The 25,228-nt window shown below is 38.4% G+C and overlaps 1 protein-coding gene across 44 annotated transcripts in view; it reads left to right on the top strand.

Moving 5' to 3' along the window:
* The window catches only part of SYNE1 (spectrin repeat containing nuclear envelope protein 1), a 515,676-nt gene that overhangs the window by 3,488 nt on the left and 486,960 nt on the right, over positions 1-25,228 (top strand). For all 44 annotated transcript variants that reach the window (XM_047418508.1, XM_017010610.2, XM_017010609.2 and 41 more), the window contains one exon: positions 5,321-5,610. In XM_047418508.1, coding sequence (XP_047274464.1) covers positions 5,544-5,610 — 67 coding nt within the window. In that variant the 5' untranslated portion in view covers positions 5,321-5,543. The remainder of the gene's footprint in view (positions 1-5,320; positions 5,611-25,228) is intronic.

The following is a 25,228-nucleotide window of genomic DNA, read 5'->3' as shown; positions in this document are numbered from 1 at the left end:
TAAGAAGAGTATGCCTTTCAACTGGGAGCATCCCAAATAGCAGGTAGTCCAAATTCCTAAGAAGAGTATGCCTTTCAACTGGGAGCATCCCAAATAGCAGGTAGTCCAAATTCCTAAGAAGAGTATGCCTTTCAACTGGGAGCATCCCAAATAGCAGGTAGTCCAAATTCCTAAGAAGAGTATGCCTTTCAACTGGGAGCATCCCAAATAGCAGGTAGTCCAAATTCCTAAGAAGAGTATGCCTTTCAACTGGGAGCATCCCAAATAGCAGATAGTCCAAATTCTCTCTGTGTCCTGAACAAAAAAAAAATGCAGCAGATGGTTATTGATTGGGTGGGTGTTTTGTTTGCTTCCATAGTAGCCTGGACTTTTCCATTACAATACTTGCCCTCCTTTGTTGTAACATTGTTTATATCATCTTCCTCTACCGGCACATAAGCTGTAAGAGGGGCTTGTCTCTCTTGTTGACTGCTGTTTACTCAGTACCATGGTCCCTTACAAATAGCTACTCAATACATATTTATTGTGAAATAATAAATACAGGAATCTTACCTTTCTGAATGTATTTAGCTGCATCATAATCTTAGTTCCTTCCCCTGGAAAAATTTGGAGATGGTGCAGGGACTATTTATTGGTATACAGCCCATGAATGTCCATCAAATTCTCCAATTCCATCCCAATGCCTAGCTTCACTCTTCATTCCCTCTCCTTCGTGCTCCCGCAGTATCCTGCACCTATTAAAAACTGTTTTAATAATCTTGGGAATAGTGAGTTTATTGATGTTCTGGATCTGCCTCTGGTGTTCTGGTTCTGTCATGTCCATAGCCAGAACACTGCTAGGTAAACAGTCTGTTGGAGGATCTCATGACCTTGCACCAGTCGTTGTTTTAGCTCTGCCTTGTGCTGCTATTGGTTTTGGAACAGAAGAGCACACTTGGGAGTACCTCTGCATTTTAGGGCCGTCTCTCATATTGCAGCTGGAGAAACTGGGAACAGGGGAAGGAAAATGGAAACTAGTATTTGCTGAAACTCTGCTACATGCCAATCAATCTGCTGGAAACATGACATATTTATCTTTTAAAAAAATTAATTTAAGCAGGATAAAATTAAACCTAATTTGGCATAAGTATACCTCATTTTACAGATGATGAAAGAAGGGCTCAGAAAAGCTCATTTTTCTTAAGCCTGCGTGCACAGTAAGAGATAGAATTAAGATTCAGCTCCAGGTCTTTCTTAGATCAAAGTCTGTGCATTTCCTGGTACCACACTCTCCTCCAATAGGTAGTTGTTGAGGACCTTCATGCATAGAACCAGCTCAAAATCACCCAACTAGCTGGGATAAAGTTTAGCCTAGAACTGATATTTCCTAATTCCCAGTCTCCTTTTATTACCTTCTTTTTATTAACATCATTTAAATTTCTTATTAAATCATGTAATTAGATAAAGTATCAGTAAAAAGCAAGAAAATCATGATTTCACAAAATAGGAAATATGTGTACATGTGAATGATGAAAGCAAAATGTTTAATGTCTGAAAAAGGAAGGATATTGCATCCACTTTTTTTTGCATTGAAGAGGAAGAGGTTTTCTGGGGATTTTCTCATAAATGTAAAGTATTATGAACTTGATTCAATGAAACAAAAAATATATATCGGGGGCCTAGGATGTGGTCAGGGATATACTTGGTGTCAATGAATGAGATTTTGCAATGTTATAGCCTCTATACCAGTGAAATGTTCACTGTTTCTTTAGAGTGAGGTAAGACTAGCAGTAGTGAAAGATAGAAGCCAAATTGTACCTAGGATAGTATGGATCGTTGATGTTAGAGGCCTCAGTGGAAAATAATGGTGAGTGTTGGTTGGTGTGTTTAGGAAAAGCTTCAAGTGGTATGTGGATCCTGGGCTAGGTATTTCCATTTGTTCAGCTGAAAGTGTTCTTCAGAGGGGTGATGTGAAGGGGTAATGAAGAAATTGCTCCTGAGTTGTTCCAAAGATATGAAGCATGAAGGGGAGAGTGTTTGGATGTAAAACCTATAAGGCCCCTCTTCTGCTGAGCTCAATTAATGGCACCCCAAATCCTGAGAGTCATCTGAGACTCCTCAGATATACACTCTGGAAACCCCACCTCCTTCTACCTATACCCACCTCCACCCCTGGGTGACCAATCACCAAGTCTTACAAATTTTGTTCCCTAAAGCTGTGTTATATTTGATTCTCCACTCACTCTGCTACCTCTGTCTGATTTCCGTCTTTGGTCATCTTCTACCTGGATTCCTGAGATACTTTCCTAACTGATCTTTCTGGATCTTCCAGTTTTGTCCTTCTCAAATACATCCTTTAAAATCATAGCTAGAATAATCCCAATCATACCTTCTCACTTCCAGCTTAAGATCTCTCAGTGGCTTCCTGTTGCCTGCTAGAGAACCAGAACCAAACTTCTGAGCATAGCACTCAGGGCCCTGCGCCATCTGGACACCACCTCACTCTCCGCCCTCTTTTCCACAATGTCACCTTGTAGAGTTTCTCAGTGTCTGACTGGTGATAGTTCCATGTCCCAGTCATGCTGTTTCTCATGCTGAGGCCTTTGCTCAAGCTCTTCACCCTGCCCAGGATGTGTCTTTCGTATGTTTCACCTGAGTGACTAACCCATTTACCAAGACTCAGCTCAAGTGTCTGCTCCTTGCCAAGAAGGACACCTTTCCAGAACACCCACACTGGCTTAGCCACCATCCTCTGTATCTTCACATCTTTGTATTTGCACTTAGCCCTGGTATTTTTGTATTATCTTTTCTATGTTTTATCTCCCACTGTGTCCTAAGCTCTTCAAAAATAGTCTCTGTGTCATATCCACCTTAGTAATCCCAGCATTGAGCTCTGGCACTCTGAATGTGTTAGTTATGCTGTGAAAGTAAGACTGGATGAATACTGGGCACATGCAGGGAAATTCTGAGTTTAATGTAACGAGAGAGAGAGAGGGCATGCACAGTATTTCAGATTAATCTACCAAGCTATGTGAATGTGAATTAGAAGAGGATAGAGGCAGAGTGATTTCTGTTGCAATGATTTAACTGAAATCCCTTTTAATTCCATAATTCTTGATTGAAGGTGGGGACTGTGTGTTAATCATCTGTGAGCTCCAGTGCTGAGCCCAGCTTGGAGTGGGGTATCTGAAATGAAGTGAATGTCTTTAACATACATGCAGATAAATGATATAGATAATAGGTAGATTGGTTGATTGATTGATTTCAGAAAGTTATATTTTTGCATTTGAAAACCTAACTTCCTAATAGCTTAGGGGATCCATTTATAAGGTCCTTCAGGCACTTTTCACTATCTATTATTCTCCCAAATTAAGATAGCTTTTGTATGTGGGCAGGTGGAATATTTTTCCCCAGGATATACAGGCTGCTAATGGGCACACAATTCCAGCAGGGCTATAGGTATGTATGTGACAGCCCAACCACAAGTAATTATTTCTCCATGAAGAATCCCTTGGAGAGTCACCCACTGAGAAGTACCTCTCTAGCCTATAAGACACCAAGTATTGGGTCCTACTTCTAGTATATACTCCTTTCAAGTAGCCAAGAGAAGTTTGCCTCTATCTTCCTACCAATGACTTCCATTCACTGCATCGCTGTCCCATGTCTTGCTAAGTTAGTAATGCTTTCTTGCTCCAGTACATCCTTCTGATGCATTGCACATGGGGCAGCAGCAATGTGCAAAGGTTTGCATCTTTTTTTTTTTTTTAGATAATAGGCTAAAAAGCATGTTACTAGCTTTGCATTCATACATTCTGACCAGATACCAATATATAATAGTATTAGTAATGCCATTTTAAAATAAATTGTAATTCATAATTGCACTCTATTATTTAACCAATCCTTCATGAGCAAAGTCCTTTTATGGACTATAATCCAAGTTATAATATAATTTTTACAGCACTCACAGGCTCCTCTCATTTTCTTTTTTCCTTCAGGAAGGTGCACCATCTCACATGTATGAGCTTTCTTTAGGAGTTTTGCTTTTGCCATTCTCCCCTTCTTCCTCTCTTCCCCCATTCCTTTTTTAACCTTCATCATCATAACCTAGAAATGCAATGGGAACTGTAATCAAGTATCACCTCCCTGTGGGCCTCTTCGGAGGCCGTTTCTTTCTCTTGGTGCATTATTCACCCCCTCTTCTTTCTGTCTAATTATTTCGTTTATGGCAATACCTTCTCTTCAGCTAAACCTAGGGTTAGGAAATTCTTATTTAAAGTACATTTTGCAATATCAAGATTTCAACGACTACTCTCCTACCTCTTCCCAAAGCCCACTGCACCCCCTCCTCCCCTCCCCCTCCCCCCCCCCCCCCCGGCAATGAAACTTAACCAGCCAGGCACGGTGGCTCACACCTGTAATCCCAACAGTTTGGGAGGCCGAGGTGGGCAGATCACTTGAGGTCAGGAGTTTGAGACGAGTCTGGCTAACATGGTGAAACCCCGTCTCTACTAAAAAACACAAAAATTAGCCAGGCGTGGTGGTATACGCCTGTAATCCCAGCTACTTAGGAGGCTGAGGCATGAGAATTGCTTGAACCCGGGAAGTGGAGCTTGCTGAGATCACGCCACTGTACCCCAGCCTGGATGACAGAGTGAGACTGTCCCAAAACAAAAACAAAAACAAAAACTTAACCAATGCAGAGAATTTAGAAGGAAAATGTCCACTCTGCTTCACCCACCCCACCCTAGCCTTAAAACTCTTGAGTCTTTATACATAGGGAGGAAAAAAACTAAATCATACCCATTTGGCTTCTAAAATTGGAGTACTTGAAACTCAAATTTTTAGAATTAAATGGTTTTTACATTTATACTGCTTTAATTCATCAAATTGGTATGAGAAACAAGGATTTGGTCCCATTCCTGGAAAGAGTACAACGCAACAGAGCAAAACATGTGCAAAGCAGGCTAAATTAGCAGACTAGAGAACCCGTGCATATTGAAAACTAGAATTGAGTGTTTTTAGTATAAGGGAAACCACTTTCATAGATCAATGGAAAAAGTTGATAGTTTAAAAAGAAAACATGGAATGAAAGTGAACATTTCTTCTTTTAGCAACCCAATTTTATTTTATATGTCTCATTTATGTATTTATTTTATTAAATATCATGGGAATTCCTAACATTTGCATAGTACTTTGTAGTTTATAAGTGCTTTTCACTAAGTTGTTTCACTTGATAATGGACCAGGCATTCAAATTAAATAGAAATATTTCTCCTTTTAGCACTGTGGTGACCTTCGTAGATTTTTTTTTTATGTTGTACCTTTTCTTTTTTGTTTTTCAGGTTCTTGAGTTCATGTAAGAGGACAGTCTTAAAACGGAAGAAGAAAAAGAAGCAGTTCAGTCTTTGGGAGAGCTGCCTCCTTGTTGAGTGCTGCAAAGGCCTGGAATTCATTTATGACAGAATAGATCTAGAAAAGTCCAAGCATGTTTTCTAGAGTGGTGTAGCCCTGTGCTGCCTCCAGTGAAGAGTCTCTTGGTGTTGGCTTCGTGCTTCCGGAGGGACCATGGCAACCTCCAGAGGGGCCTCCCGGTGTCCTCGGGATATCGCCAATGTGATGCAGAGGCTGCAAGGTAGGGGGAAGAAATTTCAGGTTTTAAAAAAATTCAAATACCATCTTAACCCACAATCAGTTAAATTTGTTTGGGGTTTTACTCAATTTCATGGAATTATAGCCCAGAATGGGATGGATGTCTTTATTCCAGTGTTTTCAAACAGGGCCATGCTGTCTTCAGATGCTGTATTCATTACATAGAAGGAAAAGATAAAAATACAGCTTTTTTTTTTTTTTTTGTAATTTTGTGTCTGCATTAGCATGTCTTACATGGTTATTCATTGTCCAGTTGGGAATTAAGAGTTATTGTCAAATGTACTGCTGCTGTTGTTCAATAATACCAGTGACAATACATCCTCAGTTGTTTTGATAGATTATGGACAAGTTGTGGACATATAGCTATATGCTATTGTCAAATAGGTGAACCAGTGGCATTTCCCAACTAGAAGACCCTTAGATATTTAGAATTTTTTTAAGAAAAATGAGGCAAAAGAGGCCCAAAGAGATGAAACGATGTGATAAGATGAATTGTTCGTGGCAGGGTACAGACTAGTCCTGCATCCCTCAGTGATGCTCTTCTCCAACAACAAACAACAGTGGTTCTCTTCTCTGCTTTTGATTTTTTTTAAGATGGAATCTTGCTCTGTCTTCCAGGCTGGAGGGCAGTAGCACTATCTCGGCTCACTCCAACCTCCATCTCCCTGTTCAAGCGATTCTCCTCCCTCAGCCTCACAAGTAGCTGGGATTACAGGCATGTGCCACCATGCCCGGCTAATTTTTTTTTTTTTTTTTTAGTAGAGATATGGTTTCACCATGTTGACCCGGCTGGCCTCAAACTCCTGACCTCAGGTGATCTGCCTGCCTTGGCCTCCCAAAGTCCTGGGATTACAGGCATGAGCCACCGTGCCCGGCTGCTCTTCTCTGCTTTCTAGAAGAAAACTAACAGGGAAATACTATAGAAACTCATAGGTGAACAGATTCTAATTGTCAATTTTCTTTACATTTATGTTTCAATATTCCTTGAAACAAATATAATTATCACCTGTAGTTATCTAAAGATATTGCTTCTTTGTCATAATCCCAATGATATATTCACTGCTTCATTGTTAGAATCCTAACGATATATTCAATGTCATAAGCCCAGCCTTCAAATGCATGGTTTCAAGGTATAAAAATACCCCAATTTAGAAGAGTTTTGTGCTAGTCTTTGCTAAGAAAGCTTAAACATAATGTTATAGCTTGACTTTTAGGTTTTCTAGTATCTCCAACAAATGATCATTGTGGGTTTGCACAGTATCAATGATATTAATTTGTCACAGACCCACTTTCTTTGCTTATAATGCATTTGCTGTGCATAGCAGTAATTTCCAGTTAAGCATTCTTGACCTTCAAATACATACCAAGCTCTTAAATCGGGGTATTCATGACCCAGAACATGCTCACAGCTATAGAAAATCAGGATATTGGTGGAACTAGGAGTTTCTCCACGTCTGTCCAGAGATCACCAACTTGATTGAGAGCTTCTGTGTTCAAGTGACCCCCCACTCGTGTTTATCTGCCTGGACTGGTTTGTGATGCTTCAGTGTGAGTGGTACATGTTTCCTATTTCTTGTTGACCAATCCCACATGTCATGCCAGAAAGAGCCTTGTTAGATAAAATATCCTTGCTGAATATATAGATGGGTCTAGACCTTTTCCATGGGCTGAAAATTTCTCTGCTTGGGTCTGACCAGCACCAAGGATCTCAGATTTAAGTTGTACATCTTCACCTGGGTAGATGCAATGCTGAATTTGAGTTCCATTCCACTGTCTATGTTTGTCTTGGCTGTTTGTCTGAGGGTAAATTGTTGAACCATTTTGTGCCTCAATGACATCATCTATGAAATGATGGAAAGGAAGTCGGTGAGTCCCTTACAAAAGTGTGGGGAAGATAATAAGGTAGTAAAGCAGATTTTCCTTTGAATATATTAGATGTGAACATTCTCTGGATGACATACATCTTGACCATAAGTGAAAGTTGCAAACAGCAAATTTGAATAAACTCAATCAGAATCAGACTGTGTTCCTACAAACACTCTACTCTTCATTCTGATATTAGTTTGAGTGGAAGTCCTTTTTATTAAGATAATTGGGTTAGGGGTGAGAGGAAAGTGAAGAGTATGGATGATTTAATGTTGTGTTTTATTATGTTTTTTAGTAGATTTAGTTTTGCTTGAGAAATCTGTGGCATGGAGGAAAGAGCTAGAGCCTCTCACCCTATCACACAAATAGGCCTGTGACAGTGGATGCCCTATTTAACATCTACGTGTCTAGGTGCCCCATTTGCAAAATGTGGATTGCTCCCATCTGCTTAGCCCCTCTCAGAACTGTTGTGAAGCTCAATGAGATAATTTACTAAAGGAGATTTAAAAATTATAAATGCTGTGATATGGTGAGCCATTCAAATAGTCATGGAAGAAAACTGGATGAGAAGGCACAGCCTGATAATTTGTTCAATTTTTTCCTGCAAATTTTTCTAACTATCCGGATTTTTGGAGGAATGTTAATAGTTTTGTACACTCTGTGCTGTATAAAACTAGTAATTTTATTACACAATAAAGTAACTATACTTATTGCATTAATTAGCTTTTATTTCTATAAAAGAGAGAGTTATAAGGTGGCATAAGGGTACCTGACAAAGTTAGAAGAGTAAGCCTGAAAATTCAGAAGACAAAACTCCTGAGCACTAGATACTTATCACTAGCCTTTGGTATCAATTACTTCATGTCTATAGGTTATGTTGGCTACAAAATGTAAAGTCTGTACTGCTACAAAATGCAACACATCTAGCCTGCATCAAAGGAAACTGGGTGAAATGGCAGGAAGTGAAAGTGATCTGGCGAGTGTGACTTCACAAATTGATCAGCTGGATTAATTCTGCTGATTCAGTTGGTGACGTGCAGGTCTCTTGCTCTCAGTTGTCACTGTGCATATTTACTAATGCTTTAAGTCCAAAGAGGGGCCAATCTCCACAGAAAGAGGAGATCTGTCCTCTGTCAAGGGTATTTAGTAACCCTGCTTACCTGCTGGAACCTCCAAACAAGTGCCCAAGATCCTAATAAATGGAGGGCTGGTATTATTGCCCAGATAATTAAGACAAATTTGAGGAAAAGTAAATTTCCATTAACGTAAACAGAACCAGAGTTGCTAATTTTCAAAGTTCAAATTCATAAGAACATTCTCCTAGAATCCTTTTTCTTTGTCTAGATATGTATAATGAGTAACTAATGTGTTTGAGGTTTTTTTTCCCCATTTTTGGGTTTCATTGTCATTTCAGACCTGTGCATAACTAATAAAGAGCATGCAGCTTTGAATAATTGCAACTTGGCACTACTCCCTTGCTTATTTAGCTTACACCCATAATTGCTGACTATTTTTCCTGCTTTTAATTTTTATTTCTAGGGCTAGGAAATTAAAGCACACACAGAGATTGCTACATAATTTAGCTGCAACAGTAGCCATTCAATATTTCACCTTTGCCAATATTTGTGCTTGTTTGAGCATAATGTTTTAGGCTGGGATACTGAATTATGAATGAGCAGTCAGACTGCAATGCAGAGTTTCATTTGCTTTTAAGAATAATGAATGTTTCTGGAACTTTACTCAATTTAAATATAACCGTAAAAGCAAATACAGGACAATAGTATAATAAAGGGGTATTAAAACTTTAAATGCACATAATTAGTACATACATTTTCTGCTATTCAAGACCAACTAAAGGGGATCCATTTAACAGGTGGCTTACGGAGTCACTTAGTCACAACTAAGAAAATAAATGGCTGAACTCTTTGGATTATAAACTTCTTTTAGATAGTGACAACATTTTAAGGCTTTTTTGTAATTTTTTATAGTTACTTAAAAAGAACTTGTTGACTGACTTTTATTAACTACATTTTAAATGTGAACATACTGTATTAAACTTTATGTTTCTAAAATGAACATATCAGTGTTGGTTATTGTAGGATGGGGTGACATCAACGCAATCTTACAGAAAAAGTGGTAAATGCCAGAAAACATTAAAATGTGCATGCTTAGGTGTTGTATATACAAAAAAATTAATAGGAGAGTAGGATTATTCACTGCAAGGACAAATTTTGATTATTAAACCTTGTGAATAGATTGAAAGAGAAACAAACAAACAAAAAAGGATAAGCATTTACCCTTGGAGATATAGCTATGAAATTTGCTAAGTGTTCAGTATAAAGTAATCACAATCTCCTCTTGAAAATTTTTTATGAGTAATAAAAACCTTAAACCTTTTTTGTTTTAAGTATAATATTTCTTATAAGTTCATTACACAAAAGAAAACTTCAGACTAACAGAAGTATACTGAAAAGTCAAATGAAATAATAATAAATAATTGATGAAAATGTAACTTTCTTTTAATTTAGCATCATTGGCTATGATCATAGCTTGGAAAAGAAAAAGCTTGGCATCCTGTGAAGATTGAAATGTTTTTATAATGCCTTGATTAATTTTTATACTAATTATTGTTGGCCGCATGTATATCTTCTTCTTTTGCAAAGTGTCTGTTCATGTTTTTTGCCCACTTTTTAATGGCATTGTGATTTTTCTTGTAAATTTAAGTTCCTTATAGATGCTGGATATTAGACCTTTGTCAGTTGCATAGTTTGCAAAAATTTTCTCCCATTCTGTAGGTTGTGTGTTCACTGTGATGAGTTTCTTTTGCTGTGTAGAAGCTCTTTAGTTTAATTATATCCCATTTGTCAATTTTTGTTTTTGTTGCAGTTGCTTTTGGCATCTTCATCATGTAATCTTTGTCTGTGCCTGTGTCATGAATGGTATTGCCCAGGTTGTCTTCTGTGGTTTTTATAGTTTTGTGTTTTACATTTTAGTCTTTAATATATCTTGAGTTAATTTTTGTATATATCTTGAGTTAATTTTTGTATATGGGGTAAGGAAGAGGTCCAGTTTCAGTCTTCTGCATGTGGCTAGCCAGTTATTCCAGCACCATTTATTGAATAGTAAAGCCTTTCCCCATTGCTTGTTTTTGTCAGGTTTGTCAAAGATCAGATGTTTGTTGCTATGTGGTCTTATTTCTGGGTTCTCTGTTCTGTTCCATTGATTTATGTGTCTGTTTTTGTACCAGTATTATGCTGTTTTGGTTACTGTAGCCCTGCAGTATGGTTTGAAGTTGGGTAGCATGATGCCTCCAGCTTTGTTCTTTTGCTTAGGACGCCTTGGCTTTCATATGAAAAAAAGCTCAGCATCACTGATGATTAGAGACATGCCAATAAAAGCCAAAACCATCTCACAACAGTCAGAATGGCTCTTACTAGAAAGTAAAAAAAGTAACTGATATTGGCGAGCTTGTGGAGAAAAAGGAATGCTTACATGCTGTTGGTGGGAGTGTAAATTAGTTCAACCTTTGTGGAAGATAGTGCGGTGATTCCCCAAAGACCTAAAGACAAAAATACCATTCAACCCAGCAATCCCATTACTGGGTATATACCCAAAGGAATATAAATCATTCTATTATAAAGAAACATGCACTCATATGTTCATCGCAGCACTACTCACAATAGTAAAGACATTGCATCAATCTAAATGCCCATTAATGGTAAACTGCACAAAAAAATGTGGTACATATATGCCATGGAATACTATGCAGCCATAAAAAGAAAAAGATCATGTTTTTTGCAGGGACATGGATGGAGCTAGAGGTCATTATCCTTAGCAAACTGATACAGGAACAGAAAACCAAATACTGTATGTTCTCATTATAAGTGGGAGCTACATGATGAGAATACATGGACACATAGAGGGGAACAACAGACACTGTGGCCCATTGGAGGGTGGAGGCTGGGAGGAGGGAGAGGATCAGAAAAATAACTAATAAGTACTATGCTTGATATCTGGATGATGAAATAATCCATACAACAAGCCTCCATGACACAAATTTACCTATGTAACATACCTGCACATGTACCCCTAAACTTAAAATAAAAGTTTAAAAAACTTTATACTTTATTACTCTAACTTAATGACTCTTCTTATTAAAACACAAAACAGTGTCAAAAACTCATTTATTGTATTTAGGCTGAAATCCCTTTGGGTTTAATCTCTCTTTTCCCACATAAATATTGTGTAAAATTATCTCAAATTTAAGTATGATACAAAACAGTGATCATTTCTTTATATTTTGGAACATTATAGTTAAATACATTTTTGATAAATAAATGAATAAATTATTATGCCTAACTTAATGAATTGAAGATAAAATTGATCAAGGCAATTAACCAATTAAATCAATTACATTGGGTCCTACTTTACCTGCCCTCTTTTTGAAGAATGTGTATCTGAATTTTTGTTTTAATCGAGTGGTTTTTTACTATAAAATCAGTTTAAAGATACACATCTTGCCTGAATGAGTGATGTGTTTGTTGTTTTTGTAGATACAATGTTTTGAGCACATTTTCCTTTTAAATGGTATATTACTTGTTCACATCACTTTTATTAATAAATTTATGAAAGTGTTTACATTTGTGTAGTGCTTGGTCCTCTAAGCCTCTCTGTTTGCCAACCTATTTCATCCATCGCGCTTCATGGAGAAAGTGCTTCAGGCCTTCAGGGTCTTCAGTGACCTATAAAATATTCGCTCTCAAATAGAAAAAGAAAACAGTTAAATAAAAAAAAAAAAGCAAAGGTTTACAAATACTAAATTATGGCAAGCAGTCAAATGTAAATCAAATCAATTCAAAAATTATATATGTGTCAGTATATTTTATATGGCATGTAATGTAAATTCACTTTATTGCACCTTTGATATAGTGTGTGGCAGGCCTCTAAAAGTAAGAGTGTCTAAGGTCTACAAATAAAACATAAAGTATCCCTCTATATCTTGTTACCTCCACATGAATTTTTTTAAACATATTACCTTACTTTTGTTACTCTTATGATGTAACATTAAACACATATAGCAAAATTACTTCTTTGACCTCCCTGTTAAAGTCCCAACTTCTTTGGCTGGGATTCCATATTCTAAGTCCATTTTAACTGTAACAGCTTTTTCCTCTAGCTCCTCTATATATCCACCTATGTCAGCCAAATGTTACTACTTTCCATGCTCGGAAGATGTCCTGACTCTTTCATCTCCTTCTGGGGCACCTTCTGGAATGAGCTCAAGTCACTGTTCCTAAAACCTGACTTATCTTCAAGGCCCACCTTCAATGCAACCTCCTCAGCAAAGGCTTTATTGCCAATACAATCAGAAATTTCCTCTCCTTCCTCTAAACCCCTCTAGCTCTTTATAGCACAATATGACAATTATCTTCTGTTGCTTTGTATTGGGTTGTGTGTATGTATCTAACCTATTCACCCAGAATATAAAAACTTTGAGGACAGGAATTGGGTCAAACTCACATCAGTGCCCTACATATTGTCTAGCATAGTGCATTTCATAATATGGACACTTCATAAGTATTTGTTAAGTGCATATAATATAAATAGTTAATATTATATTTATTTTCAATGGGGGAAGCTGGGAGGCCGGAATAGAGGTTATTTTTGACAAGTCAAGAGACAGATGATGGGTTGAACGGTGGATGGGGAGAGAGGTGGTAATATTCTAGATATATTTTGAAGGTAAGACTAAAACAATGTGTTGATGAATTCGGTTTGGTGTATAAGAGAAAAAAATTAAACTTGGTCCTCTCACTTTTAGTTTTGAAATAAAGAAAAACTGTTGTGTGGAACAGCATTGAGGAGGAAAACTGAGACCTTATTTTGGATATGTTACATTTTAGATACCTGGTAGATTTCCAGGAAAGGAGTTGAGTATATGTATGTAACTGTAGAGATCAATGGAGGAGACACAGCAGGAGAAAACATTTGGACGTTGTCAGCACAGAGATAGTGTTTAAAGCTGTGAGATTGGTTGGCACCACCCAGGGAGCCCGGACAGATAAGAAGAAAAGAGGTTTGTGAAATGGGCACTCAACACTGAGGGAAGTGGGGAATGAGGAGAGTCCCACATATGAGACTAAGAAGCTGCAGCCTGTGTGGTAGGAAGAAAAAAGACAAAAGGAAGGTCTGAAAGCCAAACAAAGAATGAGTTCAAGGAGGGAGTGATCAACTGTGTTAATGTTGTTAATTTTCTTTACATGTACATGTTTCTACATGTTCATAATATATAAAAAGAGTATGTGCATTTTATATATAAATATCAGGTCTGAGCCGGTGCGCGTGTGCCTGCCTATCATTTAAAATCATTTCTGGAAAAATAAAGAATGGCTTTGTGCATTGCCCACAAGGAGGTTCAAGATGCTCAGAAATTCACTGGTTAGGAGCAATTCTTTAAGAACACGTTAAATATAATTCTATACCTTATGTAGAGCCCATTTAGACATAAGTCCTCAGAGTAAGACGTCTCTTCTTTCAGGCCCTCCCTCAATCAGCCTCCCTCTCTTGTTGAGTTGGGGACCGTGCTATGAGCTGACAATGACCCTTGAGAAATTCTCCTGTCGGTACCATCTTGGACACTTGTGTGTCACTGCCCCGCCTCTCAGTGCCTTCTTTCCTTGGGCAACCCTCCCCTTAGACGTCTCCACTTTCACCCCTTGACATTATTTCTCTAGATCTTTGCTATGTAACTAAACTAGTATTATTCCTGCTTGTGTTTTGGGGAAGTTCTTTATGGAGTCAGAAATGTCTATTTTCCTTGCTTTCATCATTGTTTAATTAGCTCTGCCAGGGCTCAAATTTATGAAAAGAAAAGAGAAAGTATGGCACTACAGGTGCTGGATTGTCTGGAACATTGTAAACTCTGGGATTTCCTCTCCATGAAAACCTGGATGGAACCCTCCCCAAAAGTAAGGCAATTGAATTGGGGAAATTGCATCTGCATCTGGAAAAACTCTGTTAGCCACTGTGCTGGTGGCTGTGTGACCCTGTTTATGTTGGATCAGAGCTGAGGCCTTGGCGTGGTCTCTGTAAGAGGAGTGAAGACCACGCCAGAGCCCATGAAGTTTAGAGTTCCATGAATGTATAATTTAAGGTAATATGTACTTATAAAGGGGGGAACCAGACTTTCAGTTTCATGTGACAAATCCCTCATATATCTTAAGAAACTTAGAAAAACAATTCACATCCCAGGTTATTATTATTCTCTTTTATATTCTTTCAGATTGGGGCTAATGAGGATATTACACTTTGTGTGTGTGTGTGTGTGTGTGTGTGATTCTCACACCTAAATACCTAGTTTCTGATCTTTGTATGACAGTCTGTAGTTTAATTAAGCAATTGTTAATCATAAGTATTCAGTGTTAATCATAAGTATTCAGTTAATCATAAGTAGTAATTTATTTTAAATAGTTGAGAATTTACTGTATAAGAATATATGCAGCCTTCCCATAATGCTGAGGATAGACAATGATAATTTTCTATTTGTTTCTTCTCAAATAAATACATGGAAACATCTCAAAGAAGTTGGTGACTGCCCCAGACAGATTCAGTTTCAAATTATCCATGTACAATTTTGAATTATTTTGATATCGTGAAATTTGTTAAGTATTCAACAAATGGTTTCTGTGGTAACTTATGTTCTTTTTTGTTTTTTATTGTTCACAATGACCTCTTGGATTAAAAACAAACAATTCCTTCCTCTGCTGATATTAATCTTTCATATTTAGTAAACAGTGGTCTCCACCCACATTAAAAAAGTTATTTACCTAGAATTATGCAATTGCCTTCCATTCATTTGCTTCCTTTCTCCTCACATGTGTCACTGGCACTTTGAGTTCCTTTCATCTGCTCTTCTTTATTCTACTGTTGACTTGTTTACTGACTTGGGAAGAATTTTGAGATTCTCAGGACCTATCTTGGTGTTCTTTGTTGTTGTCGTTGTTATTTGTTGATGTTGTATTTGTTATATGTTGTTGTTGTTATAAGTTATGAGCCACTGCGTTCATCTTGCCAAGAATTACACTGATTCCGTATTCATGGCCTGCTTTTTCAGCTCCTTTACTTTTCTGGGGCTTCTCACAGATTATTTTCATTTTATCCAATTTTGGCTGATATGAGCATTCCTTGCTCTACTATTCAACAGAAAAAAGTGGAATTCTTACAATACATCCAGAAACGTAGGAATTCAACTAGACCACATCCCAATATTGTAATAAGAAAGATCTTTCAAAACACAACAGCAGTGACATCCATTGTCTTCTTCCCTGCTTAGAAGCTTGCAAGGACTCACTATAACCTTCCAGATAAACTCATTATGGTTGGAAGGGTGTCCATTGCCTGACTTCGATTAACCTTCCTTTTTTCATTTCTACTCAGCCTCTATAAACTATGGTGTTGCAATCCCCCGAACAATTTCTAGATTCCTTCAAGCCAATCTCAGTCTCATTTCCCTGCCTTACATGTTCTTTTTACCTTTTGCCTTTCTCAAGTTTCAAGACTCAGCTCAAATCCTGCCTCCTCTGTGAAGCCTTTCCTAATACCACCAGCCAGAGTGAGAGGATTCCTCGTTTGTACTCTACTTTGAACATGTTTCTATTAAGGTGTTGGTTGCATTAGTCTGTAAGGGTTTATGCAAGAAGCTCTGTCCCCATTAGTGTATTAGAACCTTGAAAGTAGGCATCTTGTCTTATTCAACTTCGGATATCCAGTACTAAGCACAAGTAGGTACTCATATTTTTTTCAGCTGACATTTAGTAGGCACTTAGTTTATTCAATCATACATTCATGCATTTAACAAATATTTGTTGGGAATCTACTGTGCTCAAGTCTTCTGAAAGCAAATGTAAACGTAACTTACAGACTTTGTTTCCTCATGGAGCTGTGGTCTATGAGAGTGACATAATAATTGGAGAAATTTAAAAACTGAGTGGTAGATACTATGGGTAAGTATTTATTTAATGAATAGTTGAAAAACTAAAACTTCTACAAAAACAAACACATATAATTAAGGAAATTAACCAGGGTAGCACTCTACTGGATGGTCTAAATTATTTTCATGTCATCTTTTACTCTGCAAAAACACCTTCCCTTTAAAAAGCACAAGTCCCTATAGGCTGGTGTGGTTGTTTAGATGGGAAGGAACTTATAGTTCATAATTTGCTGTTCTTATTTTGCAGATGAAATAACAGAGTTCTAGAGTGGTTAAGTGGCAAACCGAGTTCCTAAGTAGATATTTGAGGGACTTCAGTCTCCGAGAGAATTGAGGGGTAACTTAGTATTCATATATTCATGCATATTCTTTCAAGATTGTTCTTTTGCATAGCTGTTAATGACCACATGATCATTATGGATAGGCGGCAAGCCTGGCTACCTTATTTTCAGGATCCAGCACAAAATAAACAGTTATTAGGAGTAATTAATACACAACAGGGCATAAAACTGTGTGCAGGGCCCATCAGAGTGCAGGACCCTGTGCAACCACTCAGGTCACACACCATGAAGCTAGTCCTGGGAGGAGGTCAGAATTTGGAGGACTTGGGACCCTGAAGACTTTAGGGTCATTGCAGAAGAGGAATTAAGAGGTAGAAAAGTATAAGAAGAATGGAAGTAAAACATCAAAGAGAGCCATTAGCTGTTTCAAATTGTATCTGGAATCAATCTTATAAAAGGGAGACTCTCTCATCCTCATCTCAATGCTCCCTTGACCAGAATCAACACTAGCTTTGTTGTTGTTGTTGTTTTGTTTTGAGACAGAGCCTCACTCTGTCATCCAGGCTGGAGTGCAGTGGTGCAATCACAGCTCACTGCAGCCTCAACCTCCTGGGCTCAAGCAATCCTCCCACCTCAGCCTCCCAAGTAGCTGGGATGACAGGCATATGCCACCATGCCTGGCTAATTTTTTAAAAAATTTTTGTAGAGACGAGGTCTCACTATGCTGTGTAGGGTGGCCTTGAACTCCTGGAATCAAGCGATGCTCCTGCCCAACCTCCCAAAGTGTTGGGATTACAGGTGTGAGTGACCGTGCCCGGCCCAACACTAGCTCCTGAGCACTGTCAGGCAACCTGTCTACGGCTTACTTATACAGAGGACCTGGGAGCCCACCCATCACTTACAACTTTATCTTTCCGGGTTCAAAATAACTTATTATAAAGATGATTTCATGGTTATTTAATGAAGTGAAGCTTGCCTTTACATTTCTTTACAAGGAAAGATCATTTTGAATATTAATTATTTCAATATCAAGTTTCCCACCAAAAACATTTAAGTCATACTGAATAATCATGATGAGAAACTAGTAATTACTTTGCTTATTTCTGGATACATTCATGCTAATTATATGTCTTTAATTTCTCTGTTCCAACAATTAGTAGGAAATGTGATACATGGCATACAAAAACACCGGTGAAAATTTCTGTCTCTGGACTTTGTCTTATTCAGTGAAGATGTAAAAAATTCCTAAAGAGTGCTTTGCTCTTGTGTCTGTAAAAGTCAAAAGGTGTGAAAACACTTTGTTGAGAAAGAATTGCCAAACTCTTGAGTAAGAGTCAGATATTCTGAGATCATTTTGTGTTCTAATGGTATGACACTTCTTTGACTATATAATTATTGTAGGTAAACACCTATGCATAATTAATAAATTTAATAACAAATTAATGTAAAAGATGTTTTAATCAGACTGGAAATGCATGTGTACAAATAATACTCTAACAACTTTTATTTGATTTTATGTTTTTGTTTCTTATGAAATATGTCTCAACTGTGTGATAAAATGGCTCCTTTTCAAAACAATAATTCTTAGCACCATAATAATAATCAAAGAAGGAATGTTATTTCTGATATATTTGAAAGTTTTGTATATTTTGTTCTCCTGTTACTTTGTGCTTTAAAAAAAAATAGTTTCAAGACAACATTGAGTCTTGGAGTCATCTTTATGCATTTAATATGATGATAACAATAGTTGTACAAAACTCCATTAAATATTTATAAATATTTGGAAGACGGCTAATAATATTAAACATCCTACTTTGACAAGTTAACATTACCTATACAATGATCTGCATTTTTTAAAAAGCAAACTTCACTAGCAGGAATAGATATGCATTTTAAAATAGCTTCCTAGGTGACACTTAATGGTTGAAATGTTGTGATCCTGAAAGAGTTATACAATTTCATAATTTTGATGGAAAAAAATCTTTCTTTTTTTATTATACTTTAATAAAGGGTACATGTGCAGGTTTATACGTAGGTATACATGTGCCATGTTAGTTTGCTGCACCCATCAACTTGTCATTTACATTAGGTATTTCTCCTAATGCTATCCCTCCTCCAGCCCCCACAGACAGGCCCCGGTATGTGATGTTCTCCCCTGCCCCCGTCTCCAAGTGTTCTCATTGTTCAGTTCCCACCTATGAGTGAGAACATTTGGTATTTGGTTTTCTGTCTTTGTGATAGTTTGCTGAGAATGATGGTTTCCAGCTTCATCCATGCCCCTGCAAAGGACATGAACTCATCTTTTTTATGACTACATAGTATTTCATGGTGTATATGTGCCACATTTTCTTAATTCGGTCTATCATTGATGGACATCTGGGTTTGTTCCAAGTCTTTGCTATTGTGAATAGTGCTGCAATAAACATACGTGTGCATGTGTCCTTATAGTAGCATGATTTATAATCCTTTGGGTATATACCCAGTAATGGAATTGCTGGGTCAAATGGTATTTCTAGTTCTAGATCCTTGAGGAATCGCCACATTGTCTTCCACAATGGTTGAATTAATTTACACTCCCACCAACAGTGTAAAAGCATTCCTATTTCTCCATATCCTCCCCAGCATCTGTTGTTTTCTGACTTTTTAATAATCGCCATTCTTACTGGTGTGAGATGGTATCTCCTTGTGGTTTTTATTTGCATTTTTCTGATGACAAGTGATGATGAGCATTTTTTCATGTGTCTGTTGGCTGCATAAATGTCTTCTTTTGAAAAGTGTCTGTTTATATCCTTTGCCCACTTTTTGATGGGGTTGTTTGTTTTTTTCTTGTAAATTTGAGTTCTTTGTAGATTCTGGATATTAGCCCTTTGTCAGATGGGTAGATTGCAAAAATTTTCTCCCATTCTGTAGGTTGCCTGTTCACTCTGATGGTAGTTTCTTTTGCCGTGCAGAAGCTCTTTAGTTTAATTAGATCCCATTTGTCTATTTTGGCTTTTGTTGCCATTGCTTTTGGTGTTTTAGTCATGAAGTCCTTGCCCATGCCTATGTCCTGAATGGTATTGCCTAGGCTTTCTTCTAGGGTTTCTGTGGTTTTAAGTCTAACATTTAAGTCTATAATCCATCTTGAATTAATTTTTGTATAAGGTGTAAGGAGGGGATCCAGTTTCAGCTTTCTATCTATGGCTAGCCAGTTTTCCCAGCACCATTTGTTAAATAGGAAATCCTTTCCCCATTTCTTGTTTCTGTCAGGTTTGTCAAAGATCAGATGGTTGTAGATGTGTGGTGTTATTTCTGAGGGCTCTGTTCTGTTCCATTGCTCTATATATCTGTTTTGGTACCAGTACTATGCTGCTTTGGTTACTGTGGCCTTGTAGTATAGTTTGAAGTCAGGTAGCATGATGCCTCCAGCTTTGTTCTTTTTGCTTAGGATTTTCTTGGCAATGTGGGCTCTATTTTGGTTCCATATAAACTTTAAAGTAGTTTTTTTCAATTCTGTGGAGAAAGTCATTGGTAGCATTGAATCTATTAATTACCTTGGGCAGTATGGCCATTTTCACAATATTGATTCTACCTATCCATGAGCATGGAATGTTCTTCCATTTGTTTGTGTCCTCTTTTATATTGTTGAGCAGTGGTTTGTAGTTCTCCTTGAAGACGTCCTTCACATCCCTTGTAAGTTGGATTCCTAGGTATTTTATTCTCTTTGTAGCAATTGGGAATGGGAGTTCACTTATGATTTGGCTCTCTGTTTGTCTGTTGTTGGTTTATAGGAATGCTTGTGACTTTTGCACATTGATTTTGTAATCCTGAGACTCTGCTGAAGTTGCTTATCAGCTTAAGGAGATTTGGGGCTGAGATGATGGGGTTTTCTAAATATACAATCATGTCATCTGCAAACAGGGACAATTTGACTTCCTCTTTTCCTAATTGAATATCCTTTGTTTCTTTCTCTTCAGTGAGTGCCCTGGCCAGAACTTCCAACACTATGTTGAATAGGAGTGGTGAGAGAGGGCATCCTTGTCTTGTGCCGGTTTTCAAAGGGAATGCTTCCAGTTTTTGCCCATTCAGTATGATATTGGCTGTGGGCTTGTCATAAATAGCTCTTATTATTTTGAGATATGTTCCCTCAATACCTAGTTTATTGAGATTTTTTAGCATGAAGCACTGTTGAATTTTGTCAAAGGCCTTTTCTGCATCTATTGAGATAATCATGTGGTTTTTGTCATTGGTTCTGTTTACATAATGGATTACGTTTACTGATTTGCATATGTTCAATCAGCCTTGCATCCCAGGGGTGAAGCCAGCTTGATCATGGTGGATAAGCTTTTTGATGGGATGCTGGATTCGGTTTGCCAGTATTTTACTGAGGATTTTCACATCGATTTTCATCATGGATATTGGTCTAAAATTCTTTTTTCTGTGTGTCTCTGCCAGGCTTTGGTATCAGGATGATCCCAGACTCATAAAATGAGTTAGGGGGGATTCACTCTTTTTCTATTGACTGGAATAGTTTCAAAAGGAATGGTACCAGCTCCTCTTTGTACTTCTGGTAGAATTCAGCTGCGAATCCATTTCTGGTCCTGGACTTTTTTTGGTTGGTAGGCCATTAATTATTGCCTCAATTTCAGAGCCTGTTATTGGTCTATTCAGGGATTCAGCTTCTTCCTGATTTAGTCTTGGGAGGATGTATGTGTCCAGGAATTTATCCATTTCTTCTAGATTTTCTAGTTTATTTGCATAGAGGTGTTTATAGTATTCTCTGATTATAGTTTGTATTTCTGTGGGATCTGTGGTGATATCCCCTTTATCATTTTTTATTGCATCTGTTTGATTCTTATCTCTTTTCTTATTTATTAGTCTTGCTAGCAGTCTATCAATTTTGTTGATCCTTTCAAAAAACCAGCTGTTAGATTCATTGATTTTTTGAAGGGCTTTTTGTTTCCCTATCTCTTCCAGTTCTGCTCTGATCTTAGTTATTTCTTGCCTTCTGCTTGCTTTTGAATTTATTTGCTCTTGTTTCTCTAGTTCTTTTAATTGTGATGTTAGGGTGTCCATTTTAGATCTTTCCTGCTTTCTCTGTGGGCATTTAGTGCTAAAAATTTCCCTCTACACACTGCTTTAAATGTGTCCCAGAGATTCTGGTATGCTGTGTCTTTGTTCTCATTGATTTCAAAGAACATCTTTATTTCTGCCTTCATTTTGTTATTTACCCAGCAGTCATTCAGGAGCAGGTTGTTCAGTTTCCACGTAGTTGTGAGGTTTTGAGTGAGTTTCTTAATCCTGAGTTCTAATTTGATTGCACTGTGGTCTGAGAGACAGTTTGTTGTGATTTCTCTTCTTTTACATTTGCTGAGGAGTGCTTTACTTCCAATTATGTGGTCAATTTTAGAATAAGTGCTATGTAGTGCTGAGAAGAATGTATATTCTGTTGATTTGGGGTGGAGAGTTCTGTAGATGTCTATTAGGTCTCCTTGGTGCAGAGCTGAGTTCAATTCCTGGATATCCTTGTTAACCTTCTGTCTCATTGATCTGTCTAATGTTGACAGTGGGGTGTTAAAGTCTCCCATTATTATTCTGTGGGAGTCTAAGTCTCTTTGTAGGTCTCTAAGGACTTGCTTTATGAATCTGGGTGCTCCTGTATTGGGTGCATATATATTTAGGATAGTTAGCTCTTCTTGTTGAATTGATCCCTTTACCATTATGTAATGACCTTCTTTGTCTCCTTTGATCTTTGTTGGTTTAAAGTCTGTTTTATCAGGAACTAGGATTGCAACTCCTGCTTTTTTTTTGCTTTCCATTTGCTTGGTAGATCTTCCTCCATCCCTTTATTTTGAGCCTATGTGTGTCTCTGCACGTGAGATGGGTCTCCTGAATACAGCACACTGATGGGTCTTGACTCTTTATACAATTTGTGAGTCTGTATCTTTTAATTGAGGCATTTAGCCCATTTACATTTAAGGTTAATATTGTTATGTGTGAATTTGATCATGTCATTATGATGTTAGCTGGTTATTTTGCCTGCTAACTGATGCAGTTTCTTCATAGCATCAATGGTCTTTACAATTTGGCATGTTTTTACAGTGGCTGGTAGCGATTGTTTCTTTCCATGTTTAGTGCTTCCTTCATGAGCTCTTGTAAGGCAGGCCTGATGGTGACAAAAATCTCTCAGCATTTGCTTGTCTGTGAAGGATTTTATTTCTCCTTAACTTATGAAGATTAGTTTGGCTGGATATGAAATTCTGGGTTGAAAATTCTTTTCTTTAAGAATGTTGAATATTGGCCCCCACTCTCTTCTGGCTGGTAGGGTTTCTGCTGAGAGATCCACTGTTAGTCTGATGGGCTTCCCTTTATGGGTAACCCGACCTATCTCTCTGGCTGCCCTTACCATTTTTCCTTCATTTCAACCTTGCTGAATCTGACAATTATGTATCTTGGGGTTGCTCTTCTCGAGGAGTATCTTTGTGGTGTTCTATGAACTTCCTGTATTTGAATGTTGGCCTGCCTTGCTAGGTTGGGTAAGTTCTCCTGGATAATATCCTGAAGAGTGTTTTCCAACTTGGTTCCATTCTCCCCATCACTTTCAGGTACACCAATCAAACGTAGGTTTGGTCTTATCACATAGTCCCCTATTTTTGTAGGCTTTGCTCATTTCTTTTTACTTTTTTTTCTCTAGCCTTGTCTTCTCACTTAATTTCATTAATTTGATCTTCAATTACTGATACTCTTTCTTCCACTTGATCGAATCGGCTATTGAAGCTTGTGTATGCATCTCGAAGTTCTCATGCCATGGTTTTCAGCTCCTTCAGGTCATTTAAGGTCATCTCTACACTGTTTATTCTAGTTAGCCATTCATCTAATCTTTTTTCAAGGTTTTTAGCTTCCTTGCGATGGGTTTGAACATGCTCCTTTAGCTTGGAGAAGTTTGTTATTACCAACCTTCTGAAGCCTACTCTGTTAACTTGCCAAAGTCATTCTCTGTCCAGCTTTGTTCCATTGCTGGCGAGGAGCTGTGATCCTTTGGAGGAGAAGAGGCACTCTGGTGTTTAGAATTTTCAGGTTTTCTGCTCTGGTTTCTCCCCATCTTTGTGGTTTTATCTACCTTTGTCTTTGATGTTGGTGACCTACAGATGGGATTTTGCTGTAGATGTCCTTTTTGTTAATGCTGGTGCTGTTCCTTTCTGTTTGTTAGTTTTCCTTCCAACAGTCAGGTCCCTCAGCTACAGGTCTGTTGGAGTTTGCTGGAGGTCCACTCCAGACCCTGTTTGCTTGGGTTTTACCAGCAGAGGCTGGAGAACAGCAAATATTGCAGAAGAGCAAATACTGCTGCCTGATCGTTCCCCTGGAAACTTCATCCCCATATAGACCTGCCTATATGAGGTGTCTGTTGGCCCCTACTGGGAGGTGTATCCCAGTTAGGCTACATGGGGGTCAGGGACCCACTTGAGGAGACAGTCTGTCCTTTCTCAGAGCTCAAACGCCGTGCTGGGAGAACCACCGCTGTCTTCAGTGCTGTTAGACAGGGACATTTAAGTCTGCAGAAGCTGTCTGCTGCCTTTTATTCAGCTATGCCCTGCCCACAGAGGTGGAGTCTACAGAGGCAGTAGGTCTTGCTGACCTGTGTGGGCTCTACCCAGTTTGAACTTCCCAGTCACTTTGTTTACCTAGTCAAGCCTCAGCAATGGCGAACACTCCTCCTCCAGCCAGGCTGCTGCCTCACAGTTCAATCTCAGACTGGTGCACTAGCAGTGAGCAAGGCTCTGTGAGTGTGGGACCTGCTGAGCCAGCCTCAGGAGAGAATCTCCTTGTCTTCTGGTTGCTAAGACCTTGGGAAAAGTGCAGTATTTGGGCGAGAGTGTCCTGTTTTTCCAGGTACAGTCTATCACGGCTTCCCTTGGCTAAGAAAGGGAAATCCCCCAACCCCTTGCACTTCCGAGGTGAGGCGGTGCCCCACCCTGCTTCGTCAGCTCACCCTCCGTGGGCTGCACCTGCTGTCCAACCAGTCCCAATGAGAGGAACCAGGTACCTCAGTTGGAAATGCAGAAATCACCCGTCTTCTGTGTCGATCACTCTGGGAGCTGCAGACTGGAGCTCTTCCTATTTGGCCATCTTGGAATGGGTCTGGAAAAATCTTTCAAAATCAGCTTGTCTAACTCTGATTTTTTTTTATTTTTTTATTTTTTGCCACAGAGTCTCGCTCTGTCACCACGCTGGAGTGCAGTGGCGCGATCTTGGCTCACTGCAACCTCTGCCTTCTGGGTTCAAGTGATTCTCCTGCCTCAGCTTCTCAGAAACTGGGACTACAGGTGTGTGCCATCACACCCAGCTAATTTTTGTATTTTTAGTAGAGATGAGGTTTGACCGTGGTGGCCAGGATGGTCTCCATCTCCTGACCTCATGATCTGCCTGCCTTGGCTTCCCAAAGTGCTGGCATTATAGGCGTGAGCCACTGTGCCCTGCCCTAACTC

This window comes from Homo sapiens, chromosome 6, assembly GCF_000001405.40.
Source record: "Homo sapiens chromosome 6, GRCh38.p14 Primary Assembly".
NCBI lineage: Eukaryota > Metazoa > Chordata > Mammalia > Primates > Hominidae > Homo > Homo sapiens.
The sequence above is the reverse complement of the archived record's forward strand: the minus strand, read 5'-3'. Positions and strand labels throughout refer to the sequence as shown.